The 17,357-nt window shown below is 54.6% G+C and overlaps 1 protein-coding gene across 1 annotated transcript in view, besides 1 other annotated feature; it reads left to right on the top strand.

The window, feature by feature from the left end:
• GRID1 (glutamate ionotropic receptor delta type subunit 1) overlaps nt 1-17,357 on the top strand; it is a 767,244-nt gene that overhangs the window by 139,227 nt on the left and 610,660 nt on the right. The window lies entirely within an intron of this gene.
• Nucleotides 64-563: an enhancer, noted in NCBI's record as "H3K4me1 hESC enhancer chr10:87986763-87987262 (GRCh37/hg19 assembly coordinates)". NCBI's record gives its function as "activates a minimal SCP1, AML or CMV promoter by ChIP-STARR-seq in primed H9 embryonic stem cells {active_cell/tissue: H9 hESC(primed)}" and the evidence as "EXISTENCE:reporter gene assay evidence [ECO:0000049][PMID:30033119]".

Genomic DNA, 17,357 nt, shown 5'->3' with positions numbered 1-17,357 from the left:
GCTCATGAGGGTCTTGGGGCTGGGTCTCTGGCTGCTAGTTCTGTGAGAATGGGAGTCTTTGAGAGTCTTAAGCAGGTGTGGGTTTTAGGAAGATTGCTCCTGTGAGCAGTTAGCCCAAGAGGCAAGGCTGGAGGCAGGAAAATGAAAAGACCAGGAGCTCCTGCCTTGGTGCTGGGGCTGCAGCCCCCCACTACTATGAGCAAGTTCTTAGGGAGTACTATGAGCTCTCCACCACCCCTGCCTTAATGCTGGTCTCATGGGCCACCTCAGTGCCTATGACCCACCATACACCCCAGAAGGGCCCCTTTGAGGGGAGGGGCGGCCCCAGTTGCCATTGTCTTTCGTCTTCCTTTTCTCAACTCCACCTTTCCAGGCTTCTCCTTTCCCCAGGCTCAGTCCCTCCTCTCAAGCCTCTTCCCCACTGGGAAGCTGCCCTGGTAGAGCAGGTGGCTTCACCCAGGCCCATATCAGAGGGAGGCTCCCTTTCTTGACTCTGTGGCTTTGGAGGCTTCCCCTTTCCACCAGCTGCAGGCGCACAGCTCAGGGTGGCTCCTCTGGTAGATGCTTGATAATGTAGTGAAGGATAAACTGCAGGGCAGGAGGCCTGTGCCAGCAGGGCATGCAGCACCAAATCAGGAAAAGCAGCAAGGCTGAGGCCTGGTAATTCCCTGCAGTTGTCTCCAGGTGGCCTTTGGCAGTTCCATTTCCTAGTTAGTGTGTGCAAGCTGGCTGAGCTCAGGGAGGACCGCCAGCTGGTTTAGGGGGCTGCGGGTGAGGGGAGGCCTGGCTGCCTCTCTGCTGGGACTGCTGCTTCTGGAGGGAGTGGGTGAGGAGGCCGGGCTGGGACTTGGGGCACTTGTCCAAGGTGACTCCTGTTGCTGCCAACACCCCACTCCAATGGGAAAACTGAAGGTGGGAGGGTATGCTGGGGTGGGAGGGTATGCTGGGGTGGGAGTGAGGGTGTGCTGGGGTGGGAGTGAGGGTGTGCTGGGGTGGGAGTGAGGGTGTGCTGGGGTGGGAGGGTGTGCTGGGGTGGGAGTGAGGGTGTGCTGGGGCGGGAGGGTGTGCTGGGGTGGGAGGGTATGCTGGGGTGGGAGGGTGTGCTGGGGTGGGAGGGTATGCTGGGGTGGGAGGGTATGCTGGGGTGGGAGGGTGTGCTGGGGTGGGAGGGTGTGCTGGGGTGGGAGTGAGGGTGTGCTGGGGTGGGAGGGTATGCTGGGGTGGGAGGGTATGCTGGGGTGGGAGGGTGTGCTGGGGTGGGCTCTGACCACTGCTTCATGGGGTGTCAGCTCAGGGAGGTGGCTTTTCAATAGCTTTGCATATATGAGTGAGGCGTATGACGTGTGACGGCCAGGGGTGGGTGGGTAGGATCCCCAGTAGGTCTGTGCGGGAAACAGGCAGGTCCCCTGTCCAGAGACGTGGCTCTGAGGTCTTCCGGGATGTCCTTCTTCCCTTTCGTTCTTACGCTCTTCTTGCTTCTCATGCCTCTGTCCTTTGCCCCATCAGCCTACCTGTCCACCTGCAGGGTCTTGTCACCTTCATTAGGTGACTATTAATTGAATCGGGCCTGTGGAATTCCAAAGCCCCAATGAGTGGGTCCCCATGAGGCCCCCAGCTCTGTAGAAAAGACCCCACGAATGCCTGCAGCCTTGATGGTGACCTGATGCTCACACACGGCCGTGATGTCATGGTTGCTGTAATAACATGCAGGTTCATTTGCTGAGGGCACATTGGCTTGAGGTCACAATGAGTGCTCTCCAGCAGCAGGTACTAAAGTACAGCTACCTCATGTAGGAGCCAGTTTTGAACTTTATAAAAGGGTCCTGTCACCCAAAGAGCTGGGGGACCTCTAAGTTTCTGAGCTGGTCCTTAGCAGTTCTTTCTGCTCCTCTCCCCAACAACTTGAGGCCCATGGGCCTTCTTGGTCCCCCTCCAGGGCAGGGTGTCTGGCAGATGCTGTCTTTCATGTCTAGGTGGGGCTGGAGCTGGGACGCTAGCAGCTCTCCTGTACCTTCTGGACCCTGCTGTCTCCAGGCCGACATCCAGCCACTGGGCCTCCTTCCCTGCAGAAATACACGCTTTGAGAAGAGTGCAAATTGCCGTGAGCAATATATAGTCCTCATCTGAATACGATTATGCTTAAACGCTATAAATATTCGTAATTCTCAGCCTTGAGTACTGCTTCCCTTGGTGTTATATCCTTTTAAAAAACACTCAACCATTTAAGGCAAAAAAGTGCTGAGCTCATCCTGGGCAGTTTCCTTTGCTGGTGTCATGGCTGGAGAAATGCAAGTAGTGAATCATGACTCTTGGCTCTTAGTCTGTGGTTTACCTCGGGCTCCTGGACAAGTCACTGAGCTATTCAGCTCCCCACCGGCCTGGGAGGGGCTGGGAAATGTCAGCCCCTACCTTCCTCCCCGCCCCTCTGTCTTCACACCAGGGTTGTCTGCTGGAAAACTGGAGTCAGGGTTCTGTAGGGCAAAATCGATGCTTTCTATGTGAAACCAGTCCTCTGCACCTGGGCTTGATCTAATGCAATAGTTTCATTCACTCCTTCAGTAAACATTCCTCCGGCACCTGTGCCTTGGGGACCCTGAAGTGGCCTCAACACGGTTCCTAAATTCCAACAGCTCACAGCCTGGTGGTGGAGGCAGAGGGTGATGATTCAGAGTGATAATGCCCCGGCTGAGCTGAGCTCTGGATGTTGCGAGGGTGGGAAAATCTCAAGGGCTTCCTGGGGGAAGGGGCACTTGAATTGAACTTTGAAGGGTGAGGAGGAAGGGACAGAGAGCCATGGGCTTGGTGGTTGGTGTGACAATGGCTGAGCTTATTTTAGTGGCCAGTGCTCTGGATGGCTGCGTAGAGGGAGGTGAAACCTGGGTGCACTAAGGATAGCAGCTGGCTGTCTCCTCAGCTTACACCTTCCTTTAGCTTCCTAGAGCCCCTACGGGTTGATGGAGGTGCAGGACAGCTGCCATCTGGGCTGGGGTCTTTGAGAGTAGAGTGCGTCTCCCCTATTTTTGTGCTCCCCACATCCCATCCTGCCCAGTCCCCATGAGAACCTGTCAGAGCAGAAGCAGCCATGGATCCAGCTGTGGCAGGGCAGTGGGTGGCAGCATCCTCATGCCTGGGACTCCTTGTGTTCTCCTCTGGGGACTCCCAAGCCCAGGAGCCTTGGGTTGGTCTCTTTTCTCATGAGCTGAATGGAGTGTGGGCCACCTTTCAAGAATGTACTGGGGGAGGAGGAGGCTTACCCCTCTCTGGTAAGGCTCTGCCTGGGTAGGTGTGGACACTTGGGCTCACTTAGCCAGTCAGCACACTTTCCTTCAACCAATGCTGTTGTGACTTAAGCAGATGCAGAAAATAGGTGTGTGCATCTGTGTATGCTGGGAGTGTCGGGGGTGGGAGCTTGGGAGGGTGGGGATTCCGGGAGTTCAAGAGGTTGGAGGGGGTGAAACCGGAGTACAGTTGGAGGGAACATGTGCCTGGCATCCCAGGAAGGTTTTCCTTCTTTCATGTGACTTGGAATATCAGTGTATCACCTGCTGGTCCTTGGTCTGTCATCTTCTGGTCTTTGGTTTATCACCTGCTGGTCCTTAGCCTATCACCTGCTGGTCCTTGGTCTATCATCTGCTGGTCCTTGGTCTATCACTTGCTGGTCCCTGGTCTATCACCTGCTGGTCCTTGGTCCATCACTTGCTGGTCCCTCGTCTGTCATCTGCTGGTCCTTGGTCTATCACTTGCTGGTCCCTGGTCTATCACCTGCTGGTCCTTCGTCTGTGATAGACACAGCATGCAGTTGTCACTTGCTGTCTGTGCTACCTCAGTCACTTCTTGGAAAGCCGACCCAAGCTGGGCTGGGGATTGCCCACTCCCATGGGCTTGAGGGAGGGAGTGCCCCTGCCTCAAAGCCTGAGCTGAGCTGCCCTTGTTGGAGACAGTGCAGAGGTAGGCCTCAGAGCCCCTCCCCATACCTCCAGAACTGCCTGGAATCATCCCTCCAAATCTCCTGAGAGGTTCAGTGGCCTTGGGTGTGACTGGGAAAGCTCCCTGCACCATCATGGGAATGCCTCCTCAGCACAGAGCAGCCATGTGTGCATGTGCTGGGGGCCATGTGCCTGTGGGTGGTGTGCCTGCATGCGTGCCAGGCAGGGCATTTGGAGGGGCCGAGCCCCCAGCCACAGCTCCGCAGCTTCCTGTTCCTTCTCTGGTGTGTGTCCTGGCAGCTGTGTCCTTCTGCCTGTCATCTCTTTGTCTCTTTCCAGGGAAGGTGTCTGGGCAGGGGGTGGAGAAAGGGAGCACCATCTTCCATGCGCAGGGCAGGGCTGGAGCTGAGCACCAGAGCAACCTACTGTGCCCTCCAGACCTAGCCATCCCGCTCTCAGCCACTTTCCCTGCAGAAAAAGGCCCTTAGGGAATGCAGAGAGCAATGAGCAGTATGTGGTATTTTGGGGGGATTCTCAGAGCCCCTCTGCCTTGGTTTGGTATACCATAGTGCTCCCCAGAAGCAGGTCAGTGGCATGGGAGCATACATGCCCAGGCTTCTCTCCCAGCCAGCAGGAGCTCATAGTTCACAGTGGGGTGGGGACCCTATGACCCCAGCTGAGCTTGCTGTGGAGGGGGGGATGCAGTCTCGCATGTCCCCCCAGGGGGTGACGGTGCTGTTTTGGGTGTGCACCTGACACTCCTAGCCCTTGCCTGACTGTGGCCCTAGTGCCCTTGTGGCTTGGTGTTGTGGTGAGGAAGGGGGTGCCCTGCCCCCCTTCAGCTGGGCTCCAGGGAAGTGCTCGGGCTCTGTGACTTGTGTCCACTCCAACTTGGGGAATGGCATAATGCAGTTTTGCCCATGCTTACACCCCTTCTCCCCTTCAGAGGTCTTGGATCTGATCTGTCCCAGTGGCTGGCCCTGGCACTTAGGGGCTCCTACAGCTCCACTGCCCTGGGTTGCCAGGCTGCCTCTCCTGGGGTGCGTCTTTCAGAGGCCCCTCCATTTTTCAGTGAACAGGCCTGCTCCCCAGCTGCTGGGTGGCCCCTAAGCTCAGCCTGGCCTGCAACATGCATGGTTTCTATGGGGCTTCTTCAGGACAGAGTGGGGTGAAGGCCCCGCTTTTCCTCCCCACCTGACCCACTGCTCCCACCACCCCTTCCCTGGGCACTCAGATGGCACCGAGTCCCTCAAGGCTCTGAGGGCAGCTAAGGTGCTGACTGGAGGCTGAAGGACTGACCACGCCCTCCCCCTGGGCTGGGAGGCACCTGGAAGCCCAGGCTTGGGGTGGGCAGAGTGTGCCCCTTGGAAGCCCTGAGTTCTTGTCCTAGCTCACTCCCCACTAGCCATGCAGTGGATCATACCTGGCAAGAGGGCTCACATCGCCAAGCTTCAGGTGCCCCCTCTGCAAATGGGTGGCCCCCCCTCTAGGCCTGGGAGGATGCCATGAGATGGCATGCAGGACCCTCGGGGACCACCGCGTGGTAGGTGCCCTTCCCTAGTCCTGCCAGCTTCAGGGTTCTTGGGGTTTGGTGTCTGTCCTTGGCCTGTCCCCTTCTTCCCCCCATGCTTTAGCTGGCTCTGTCCCCTGTTTCTGTGATGGCCCTGATGCTGTTCCTGCTGCCTCCCACCCCCTGCCCTCCCTACCCCTGTTCCTTCCGGGTGAGGAGGAGGAGGAGGAGGAGAAGGAGGAGGAGGGGGAGGGGGCTTCCACCTCCAGCCCTCTGGCTGCATCCTCCCTGTGGCCACTTTCCCAGAAGCAAGCTCTGAGCAGGTCCTGCCTTCAAGGCTCCCTGCTGCTCCTGGGATCAAAACAAAGCCCCTCAGCTGATCATCCAAAGACTTCTGGGGACTCCACCCTCCCTTTCCTCCTAACAGCCGTCACCCAACCTCTCACCCCAGTGTGAGCGGGCCATTCCTGGAGGGTGCTGGGCCTTGGCTCACAGCAGCCACTGGCCTGGGTTGTCCTCTTTCTCTGCCCCAGCATCAGCTGCTGTCCTCTGTGAAGCCCCCTTGACACCCCAGGCTACATGACTGTCCACCCCCACTCCACCTGCTGGACCTCCACCACTCCCACAGCCCACAGCCCACAAAGGCTTCCTCTCCAGATAGCCTTTGCTGGGGCCTGTGCTGGGATCTGCCTCAGTTCTGTGTTCCCAGCACGGCGTGCTTGAGGAGTTTTGTGGGGGGTTTCCGGGAGGCAATTTGATAACCTGCTGGGAGAACGTGGCTCCCAATCTGTCTATTATGGCTAGAAATGTGCTGGTGGGAAGATGGAGCCTCACCAACCAGGATTCTCTAAAGTTCCTCTCTGGTTTGTGAGTTTTGTTGTATTATTTTTCAATTTTCTCTGAGCATCTGCTACTGTGAAAATTTTCATTATCACTGGCAAAGAGCCCCTCTCATCCCTGCTGGCTGCAGGAGATTTCCGATTTCTCTCCCCGACTGCTCTGAAGCACCTGGGGGCTGAGATGGTAACGTCCCAGGGCCAGCTGGGCTCTGTCTCAGAAAATATTAGGAGCAGGGCCAGGCTGAATGGCCAGGGAGGTGCTGGCCATGGCTTATGTCGTGATGGCTTTGCCTCCTCCTGGAGGCGCAGGGTTGATCAAGCTGAGAAAGCTGGCTTTGGGGGCCAGTCAGCACCTGTATCCACTTTTCCATCTTGAGAGACCCTTGCCCCCAGGGTGGTCCCCTCAGATGCTGGTGCTGGGTGCATGGCGCACCCCCGACACCTGGCTGACTCATTCTCTAAAACAGGCCTCATGTCAACAACTTCAGAGGCTGTGTGCTGTCATGCTGGCTGTTAGGACGGCGATGAGGTGTTGGAAAGCAAAGCCCATGCAAAACTTGGGGTGAATGAGAAGAGCTCCTGCAGCATGTGGGACACAGGCTGGGTGTGGCACCCCTCACCCCTCACCTGCAGAATTGCACCTGGGCATCCTGCTCAGAGATGGCACCGATGAGCAGAGGATGGCCTTGGACATGCCCAGGCGTCTGACCATCAGCCCAGACCTCACTCTCCTAGCTTGGTTTTGAGTTTGAACCTGGCCAGGCTGCTTTCTTCTCACTCTTCTTGCAGTGGGTGGTAAGTTACCTGTACTTACTGGTGCTGGTCAAAGTGCTTCCTCAGTACTAACTCGACTCTCATTATTACTCCATGAGGTCAGGACTATCATAACCGCGTTTTCAGGGTAGGGCATGGAGCAGGTGTGACTTGCCCACAGCAGTAAGGTGCAGAGCAGGGATTCGAGTCCGGGTAGTTCGGTGCCAGAACCTATCCTCTTACCGCTGGGCCAGTCCTTCTCTCTGAGAGTTCTGGAGAGCCTCCTTTCTCTTGTGTCAATCGGCGTCCTCTGCACTAATGTGGCTTTTAGTTTCAAAGGGGCCAAGAAGGAGTGTGTTTAGCACTTGATTGGTAAATGAATGAATGAATGAATGAATGAACACTTCCCGAGGAGGAGGAATTAGCATTTTAGAACTTATTCAAGATCTATTTTGTGCCAGTGGCTATATTTTCACATCTGTGTGTGGTGCAGGTGCCATGACTTGTTCTTCTCTGCCCTTCCCCCATTTTACAAAATAAGGCATGAGGCATGACCAACCCAGGCTCTGGGCTGCTGTGTGGTAGAGGTGGGCTGGGGCCTGGGCTTCGTGATTGCCAAGTCCATTCTCTTTGCACAGCCCAGGCTGCCTCCCGGGGGGAGCATCTGTGGACTGGCTGGACAGAGTTAGTTTGTGAGAGATGCCTTCAGCTTCCGTAGTGTCACTTTGCCTCTTCCTCATTCTGTTCACAGTCCCCTGGAGTTAGCATTTTGACCAGTAAATGTGGACAACAGTCCACTTGCACTTGGCCACATAAGAATCACAAGAAAGATATAAAGAACAGAAAGGACCTGGGATGGGGGAACCCGCTCCATTTACCCCCACTACCTCCCCAGCTTCACCCCAGCTCTCTCCCTCCTGCCCTCACTCTGGGACGGGGGGCCACACGTGACCAGGGCTGTAGGGGAGTAGTGTGCAGAGCAGGGAGAAGGGGAGCGGGGGTGCTGCCCCTCATAGGTCATCTCCCTGGGCTTGGCTGCAAGGCATGCTGGGGGCTTGCTGGCAGCCAAGGTCGGTAAACAACTAGGCTGGGCAGAGTGAGGGAGGGGCGGCGTCTGTGGAGGGATGGCCCTTGAAGAGGGACCTGTAGCCCAAATACCTGGTTTAAGGGCCATTGGGCAGTTGGCAGCGTTGAACTCACACTGGAGGGTGGGCACAGTCCCCTGGTAATGGAGTCAGGAAAGGTGGACGATGGATTGGGGGTTCTGGGTCAAGAGCCCAGCAGCTGGGGGTGTAGGGGTGGCACATTCCCCTTGAGGGAATGGGCTAGACCTGCCCATTGGCAGGCTTCAGGCCAGTGCTTCTGTCTTGGTCCCCACCAGGTGACAGGCCAGGGAGCGGCACAGAGGGCTGCATGCACTCCCACCTGAACTGCCCAGGCAGTTGTAGAGGGAGTGAGGTGGGTGTGGGCATCCCTGTGACTTTTACCCCAGAGACAGACCCACAGGGTGATGACTGGCTGCCATTGCCTATGGTTTGCCTGGTGAGCACAGCTGTCTCGGGCTGTGCTGTCGATAGTGGGTGGACCAGGGCCAGGCCAGGATGATGTACATCCCGCATTGTCCTGTTGCTGCCTGCTGCTCCAAGGCATCCAGAGCTGGGGGTCCCACTCCATGCGGGGTGCTAGGGAGACACAAGTCCTGAGGGTGCTCAGTGCAGGTGGTGACAGGGACCAAGGAGCAGTCAATGACACTGAGCTGCAATCACATATAAAGCAGAAAGTGACATCAGAGGAAGGGCCTGTGTTGTCCTGATTGTGGGTAAACAAGAAGGTCCCTGGAGAGGAGGAGGCACTTGTCTGGGTAGATGAGAAGGATTCACCAGGTAGATAGGGGCCAACAGGTGACAGTGAGCTTCTGGCAGGGGAACAGCAGGTGCAGAGATGAGGACACAGCATAGCCTCCAGACCCTGCGCTATATCCTGAAGCCTGGAGGTTGCCCTGGGAAGTCTGCTGGCTATGCTGCAGGATTAGTGCAAGGCCTTGGAGCTGGGGCTTGGGGCTGGTTAGGCTGGCAGGGTGGGCCACTCCAACCTTTCCTAGAAGGGCTGCTGGCCAAGGAGTGAGTTTTGCTCCTGCTGCATGAATCACCTGGGGTGGGAGAGACTAGACAGCTGAGGGCCTAGCAGGGGGCATCCTGGTCAGCTTCCAAATGCAGGGTGGAGATGAGAGCCTTGGCACAGACAGGAGCTTTGGAGCAGTCAGCCCTACCAGGGAGGCAGGACATAGGCTGCGGTGGGGGGAGTAATTTCCACCCATACACCTGCATATACCTTTGCTGGTGCGTGCATGAACTCACACACACACGCGCACAAGCACACACACACAGGACCAAGACTCAGAAAGTCAGAAGTAATGATAAGGAGAATGAGAGAGCCAGAGAAAGCTAAAAACAAAAGTCAGACATAGGTTGAGATGAAGAGGGAGAGCCAGAAACCTCACAGAGCCTCAGTTCTCCATCTGGGAGGGATGCTGGAGCCTGCTGTCTGGATGTTCTTGTCTTTCAGGAGACAAATGCAGGTGGGGTAGGGGAGAATTGGACACAGGATCAGGCCCGGTGGCCCGGGGCTGCAGGGAGGGCTGAGGCAGGCTCTGTGGTGTGGCCTGTCCATAGGAGTCTAACTGCAGGCTCCGGTTCCTCAGACCTGGCCTTCATGGGCTTCTCAGTGGTCTGTTACCAGGAGACCAGCTGGCCCAAAGGCCAGCAGGAGGAGAGACCACCGTGTAGCTCCCTCCCTGAGCCTGTTTTAGGGTGCAGTGGACATTCTCTGTTCCCATGGCCCAGTGACTTCTGGAGAGGTGTTGCTTACGAGGTGTTGCTTACAGGAGCACCAAACCCGCAGGCATGTGGAATTTCTGGGAAGCCGGCTGCCTCTTTCCTAGGGCCAGGCCATGATTGGTGTCTGGCCAAGAGCTTTTCTGCTCAACAGTGCTGAGACTACCTCTGCCCGCCCAGACTGAATGAAGGAATTGGCCCCAAGCTCCTCCACTCTCTACTTGGCCGAGTCTCTAAAAACAGGATCCCATATGAGAGGGCTGTGAATAACAACAGAAGTTGATCCTTTTTTGAACACTTACTATGTAACAAACGTTATTCTAAACTTTTTACATGAATTAGTTCATTTAATTCTCATGTCAGCCCTAGGAGGTGGGACTGTTATTATCCATTTACAGGTGAGGGATAGAGGCTCAGGGAGGTTAAGTGGCTTGCCTGAGGGCACACAGCTACCACAGTGGCCTGACTGTCTCCTGGGCTGGTCTCTTAACTTTGAGATCAGAGACAGCTCAGGGTTTGAACCCAGGCTCCCCTGTGATTTTAGGCAATGCTGTAACCTAGGATCTCTGCTCCTGTTCCTCCTGTCTAGAATGGGGTAGTAGTACCCACTTCCCAGGGAGGCCATGCGGTTCAGTGATTAGTTGAGGGGGCCCTGGCACAGCTCCCTTCCTCCTCTCCCACTTGTCTGCAGCAGAAGGCATGTCCTTGCCCCACCCTGAGCACTGCCATAACCTTATCCTCTTTTTCAGCCTTTTTCTAAACAGAGCTGGAAGCACCTTCTTGGTTACCCTAGGGATCCTTTTCTGGCCCCAGCCTTCCCTGGATGTGGCCACACCTGTCCCTTTCTTTCCCCCTTAGTCTATGTCCTGGGCATAGCCGAGCTCCTCAGAGAGCTCCCTGTGCTGCCCAAGTCTCCACCCTCTCTGAGCCAGCTGTGCTTCATAGTCTTGGGACCTGAGTTGTCCTGCCTGGGGCCCCATGGAACCAAGGGTTCTCACATCTGGCTGCTTGTCTCTCCCTTCCTTTGCCAGCCCCAGGACAGCACCGTTGCTTTCTCCCAAGCTTCTCGTTGTCCTTTTCTGACCCCGAACCACTCCCTCCTTCTTGGGCAGAATTAGATAAAGTGAATTGCCCAGGACTCTTGACTCATTCATGCAGGGACTGGATTCTGAACCAAGTCTAGGAGGCCCCATATTCCAAGATCTTTTCTCATTGTGCGCTGAAGGCTAACTCTAGTCTTGGACAAGACAGAATTTTCCATTGCCTCATTCCTAACATAAGTTCCATCCCATTGATTCTCTGACTTACTCGTTTACCTTGAAACACTGATATTTCAAATGATTTCCCTAGTATGGATGTTTCTGTGCTTTCACTCAGCTCATTCAATTGTTCCATATCTTCTGAATATCTCTGCTTCAGGCCCTGACCCTGAAGATACACAAAGCCATGAGCCTCAGCTCCTCCTCTTGTGACCTTAGGGATTAAGCATGAGATAATATGATATATATGCAATAGAAGTGTGCTAGGATAAAGTATTCCTGGACATGCAGGAAAAGGAATGGTTAACTTTGCCTAGCAGGGGAAAAGTCAAATAATGCCAAAGAGCAAGAGGCATTTGAGGTGGATTTTCGGGAGTGAGTGGAAGTGTGAAAGGCAAAGTAGGGGAGGAAGAGCATTTCAGGAAAAGGGAATCAGCACGTGCAAAGATAGAGATTAGAATGGGCATGTCTACATGTAGAGAGCATGGGGCACGTGAAGGTTGGCAAGTACACTGGTGCCATTGTGATGTGTGGAGCTGGGGAGCGGTGGAGGATCTCACAAACTGGACTTTGATCACTTGCAGTGGGGAGCATGGCTAATATTTCAAGGGCGTGCTTGTCACTGACTTTGGTCTGTAGAGTGGGTTGGAGAAAGAAGGGCTGGGAGGCAGGGAGACCAGTTGGCTGATAGGGGAGGAATACAGACATTCAAAGGCAGAGTGAGGAGGTGACATCTTGTGGGCTGGCCTGGGGCTGAGGAGGAGCCCAGGAGGAGCTGTCTGGGCTTGGGTTCCTGGGAGTGCTTCAGGAAGCCCCATTGCTCAGTTGCTTTCGAGGTTCTCCAAGACGCTCCCTGCAGGCATGCCCAGGACTCATCACTGTCCTGATTTAACTTTCACAGTGTAGGCTTCCATGTGAATCCTGGCTGGGGAGCCTAACGTTTCATTGGCGGAGCAGTAAAAGTCATTAATGAGGAGCTGGAGAGCTATAAATAAGCGAGCATGATCCCACCCAGTGTTCCCTGTTTCCAATCTGCAGGAGCAGGGAATTGGTTTTGATTCATTAATTGTTAGAGGAATGAGGCCCCAGAGATCCCATGGTGCTGCCAGCTCTTCCCCACCCTCCTGGTCTGCTTCGTGCATCCTGACTGCATGAGCTGCCCACCTGCCCTGGACGACAGTCCGTCATTCCTCAGGACCATTCGGCTCTGCTCCCCTGGGCCTCTCTGGGCTAGGCTGAGCTTGAGGCCAGAGAGGCTGGGGCTCCCAGCCTGGTAGTGCTCCTGGTGAGATACTTGCACAGCTGCTGCTGCCTGAGCCAGGCCTCAGGCTCATACCTCTTCCCTCCCCACTGTCCCCTTGGTTCTCTGCAAACTCTCAGTGAACCCCTCCTTAGAAGGAGTGTTGGCTTTAAGGAACTGGCTCCCTTTCTCCAAATTGTGGGATATGGCTTTGCCTTTTGGTGAACATGATCACTGTGAGACCTTGGCAAGTTTGAAAACTTTGTGTCTCACCCACGAAATCTGGACTCCAGTTGTGCTTATTTTCCAGAGTTGTTAGGAGGATTCTTTTCTTTTTTTGATACGGAGTCTTGCTTTGTAGCCCAGGATGAAGTGCAGTGGCACTATCTTGGCTTACTGCAACCTCCGCCTCCTGGGTTCAAGCAATTCCCATACCTTGGGCTTCCGAGTAGCTGGGATTATAGGCATGGGCCACCATGCCCAGTAAATTTTTCTGTATTTTTTTTAAGTAGAGACAGGATTTCACCATGTTGCCCAGGCTGGTCTCAAACTCCCAAGCTCAGGCAATCTGCCCACCTTGGCCTCCCAAAGTGCTAGGATTACAGGCATGAGCCACAGATTACATAGTTTCTTGCTCTGCTGTGCTGTGCTGGGTGCTGGGGGTCAGGGGGGCGGGTAAGCAGTGAAGGTGCTTCTGCTTATGGGCAGAATGAGACCACACAAAATAGTCCAACATGGCAAATGTTTGTTAGTGCCAGGAAGGCAAACCATGGTGAGGGAAGACTGGGGACGGTGTGGAAGGTTCTCTAGAGGGAATGATGGTTACCTACCCAGCACACAGGAGAAGGAGAATTAGCCAGACAGACGTAGCAGAAGTACTTTAGGCAGTGGGGAGAGTGTGGGAAGAGTCCTGGCAGTGAGCAAGAGCTTGGGACGCTTGAGTTACTGCACAAAGGCCTGCTACCTGGAACGCAGGGCATAGGGTGTGGAGTATGCTGGGCCTGTGGGTCCCATTAGGGTGTGCGTTTTGTTTTAAGGCCAGTGGGAAGCTCATGTGATTTTAAGCAGGGACAGCACTGTCTGGTTGGTGCTTTATAAAGGCCAGTCCACTAGTGTGTAGAATGGACAGTGTGTCCATCTGGGACAAGTGGGGAGGTTGGAGGTGTAAGGGTCCACTGGAGAGGTGTCAGTGTTCTGGCCCAAGGTGATGGCAGTGGAGTGGAGGAAAGTCGACAGGCTCAAGATATATTTGGGAGATAAAGCATTCAGGCCTGGTGGTGGCTTGGGTGCAGAGGGCCAGTGAGAGAGAAGGGTTAGGAACTGGTGGGTGGATGGGACACCACTTTACTGAGTTTGGGAGACCGGGAAGAACAGACTCACACCCTAGGCAGTTCAGTGTTGATGCATCAAGTTTGAGCTGCCAAGGGACTCATTAAGTGGAGAACTCAGGCAGATGGGTGGGTGGGGGTCAGGACCCCAGGGGGAGCCTTGTGGGCTTGAGAAATAACGGTAGAGCCCTCAATAGGGCCGGGCTTAGTGTTCAGTGGGGTGGGTCAAACATGCAAGGAATGTTGATGATTCCATAAAGAGAGGGTATACATGATGGATCTGGGTGTGGGAAAAGGCCAGAGGAGGGAGGCTTCGGAGCTCAGGAGCAGGGACCAGCCTTAGGAGAAACTTTTCTCTTGAGCTTTCAGCACAGACAGGGAGGTGTGGAGCTCTGGAGGCAGGAAGTCATGCGAGATAGCTTGTGATGATGGCTTCTGATTCATGAAAAAGGATGTAAGTCATTCGTTGAACTTGGGGAATAAACCTGGGTGGTTCAAGAAGAACGGGGAGGGAGGTGGTAGAGATGTGTCAGCGTGGGGAGCCCTGCTGAGGTGGGTGACTGCCATGTGGCCAAGGTCACCAAGTTGCCAGGTGCGTGGTACTCTCTGTGGCCCTGCACTGCTTGCCGGCAGTGTGGAGGAGCGTGGGCAGGTTGATCCACCCTGAGTTGACTCCTAGTTGGGATTTCAGCAGCCAGGCTACATAAGGAAAGAGAGGGATTCTGTAATGGAGTGACTGGAGAGGAGGAAAGCAGGCTCCAAGGCAGGAGGTGGGGTTGCTGCAGGTCTCTGGGAAGTTGGAAAGTGGGCAGAGAATCACTGAAACACAGTCTGTGGGACAGGATGGATGCCTGTCAAGTGTGTGTCCTGTGCTCTGGAGGGAGGCGTCTTCTGCAGGAGGGACGGGAGAGCCAGCTCACTCCAGGGCCCGAGCTCTAGCATTGGCCTCTTACAGCACCACCACCCATCCCCCCACCATTTTATGGTTTTGGTTACCTTTTAAATGTCTTAATAAAAGATGAAACGTATTTATTCTCCATAGATCAATAATTTACTATGAGTTATGACAATACTAAATTTGGTCAATTATTTATCAGCTCTAAAGTATTTATAAATGCTACCTTAATTTAAAGCATTAGCCATTGGAATTCAAATATTAATAAAGCTGTTTCCCATTTAAAGGAAGAAAGGAAGAGTACAGATAATGAGGGTGGCTGGGGGCAGGTGGGTGCTCGTGGAGGTTAAGATTATTGGAGGAACGAGGTGGCTCGTGGAGCAGCCTTGGGGGCGGCAGAGGTGCTGGACTCCCTTGGGGAGAGACCATTCCTTCTGGGCAGGCAGGGCTGAGCCCGGGTTTGCCCAGAGCCTGGCTCTTTTTTCTGCTGCCCGTGGAGAGGAGCTGAGCCTTGCTGGGTTCCTCTGAGGTTAGGGCATCAGGTTGTTTCTCCCCAGGTGGAGGCTCTCTCTTGCCTCATCCATTTGGAAATGTCCTGCTGTTCTTTAAGGTGGCACCCAGGGGCCAGCTAACACAGGAGCTGCCGGTTGAGGGGGCTTGGGACCTCAGAGTTGCAGGGGCTGCATGGGCAGATCTTCTTCCTGGGTGAGCAAGCCTGCGGAGCGATGCCTCCAGGGCACCTGACAGAGGGAAAGGCTGAGCTGGCAGTGGCCAGTGTCGTGACTGGGGGGTGGCACCAGGAACCGTGGGTCTCTTCTAACACATGCCTTCTGGGGTATTGCTTCCCACAGCCTTGTTCTGAGAATGTTCCAGAAATCCCCACGGGGATGGAGAATAGTGGGCATGGATTAGTGATGGCGCCTAGAGTGACCTCAATGTCTGAGGGCACCTTTCTCACCTCCAGCACCCACCTGCAGGCACCCAGTGACTTGATGAGTCAAGGATCTGCTTTCAGGGGAGACAGGCCTTGTTCCTGCCTGCCTACTCCTTCCCTGGGGCCTGCACTGAGCCGGGAGGTGCCCTGGGGATTTCTATCCAGGGACAGTTGGGTAGAGTCAGCCTGGAATCCTGGGTTCTGTCCCCTGCTGGCCACTTTCTCTTTGCAGCATTGGATGTAGAGGTGCCTGGTGGTCTGGTGTTCTCTTTGCTGTTTGCTCTCTGGCTGTGTGGCCCTGGCCAAGCAACTAGCACTCTCTGTGCTCTGATTTTTTTTTTTTAACCAGGGAAATCAGAAAGCTCACCTGGGGTGAGAGTTACTGAGAGTTTGTTCTGTGAAGTGGCCAGTACCTCACCTGACATGTCCCACCCCTGAGAGTCCGCTGTCTGGAAAAGCCTGGATGGGTGGGATGTGAACATCTTCTCCAGGGAAGCAGGTGGGAATGTGACTGTGGATTGTGCAGTTGTATTGCGAATGCTGTCTGGGCACCCCCCACACCCCCAATGCCGAGCTCTGAGTAGCCCTTTCTTTTGTGGGGACCCTCCACTTTCCCAGGACACAGGGTGCAGGTGGGGGGGCTGGAAGCCGCTCATTACAGTTTGTCTTTACTTACTTTCCCAGCTGATGGATGGGTCATTCTCAGGGGGCCCTTATCAGTCCATCAAGCCTGTGTTGTAATCAAGAGAGACATCAGCTTTGTGACCATATAATATGGAGGCAAAGAATTATAACAAAAGCTGTTATCCTCTAGAGAGCTGTAAAAACATCTTTGAGCATCATCCTAGGTAGCGATGACTTCTGAGTTGCTACTATGTGCCAGGCAGCATGAATGGCTGTCCACATATAAAGACCTTTCATGGCACACATGGAGCAGCCCTGTGAAGAGGGAGCCATCATCTTTATTTGACCCCCCCAAGAAGAAAGAAAGAAAGACAGAAAGAAATAAAGAGAAAGCCAACCAGTAACCCAGAGAGGACCAGCCCTCACCCACAGTCCCAGCTTGTGACCAGGGCAGGCCCCGGACTCCGGCCAGGTGGCCAGTCCCAGTCCTGGGGTTCAGCATCTGTCACAACAACCAGGGCATGCATTGTGTAACATCCCATCACACACAACCTTGATTAAGCTAATAGCTGATTTGGCTTTGATCTGATGTATTTTGATCTTATTATTTTTATGTTAGAAGCCTCCAAATAACCATCATTTCAACAGTGCCCCAATTAGCAGGCCATTCACAGTGGATTGGAAATTGACTCACATCGGGCCTCTCCATTAGCGCCTGGGAGAGGCTTCCAGCCTTAATTACCCACCCTTTTTGTGGAGGCCTGGCGCTTACAACGCTGCAGGTGGCTCCACGAGGGGTGGGCCGGCAGTGCTCACCTCCACGGGGAGGGCGAGATGGCTCTTGCCTGTGACTACTAGTACTTAAGATCCTGGGCATGACTTTGGTGGAGAGATGGGATGTCCAAGGAAGGGGCAGGAGGCTGACATCTGTTCAGCATCTTGTGCACTGTGAGGCATTGGCACTTGCTATCAGCGTCCTAAGTCAGTGCTCTCGTAGCTCTGCTGGGTAGAGATTCTTATTCCTATTTAATAGAAAATGGAGGCTGAGAAAGGGACATGCCCATGGCTGTGTGGCTACTGACCGGAGGAGCCAAAACTGGAACTTGGGTGAATGAATGCTTGAGATCCGAATGCTCTTCCCACCACCCCTGGTGAGGTGGTAGCTGGTGAGGGTTCAGCCCGGCTATATGTCTTTGTCACTCTGCACCCACCTTG

This window comes from Homo sapiens, chromosome 10, assembly GCF_000001405.40.
Source record: "Homo sapiens chromosome 10, GRCh38.p14 Primary Assembly".
Classification (NCBI taxonomy): Eukaryota; Metazoa; Chordata; class Mammalia; order Primates; family Hominidae; genus Homo; species Homo sapiens.
The sequence above is the reverse complement of the archived record's forward strand: the minus strand, read 5'-3'. Positions and strand labels throughout refer to the sequence as shown.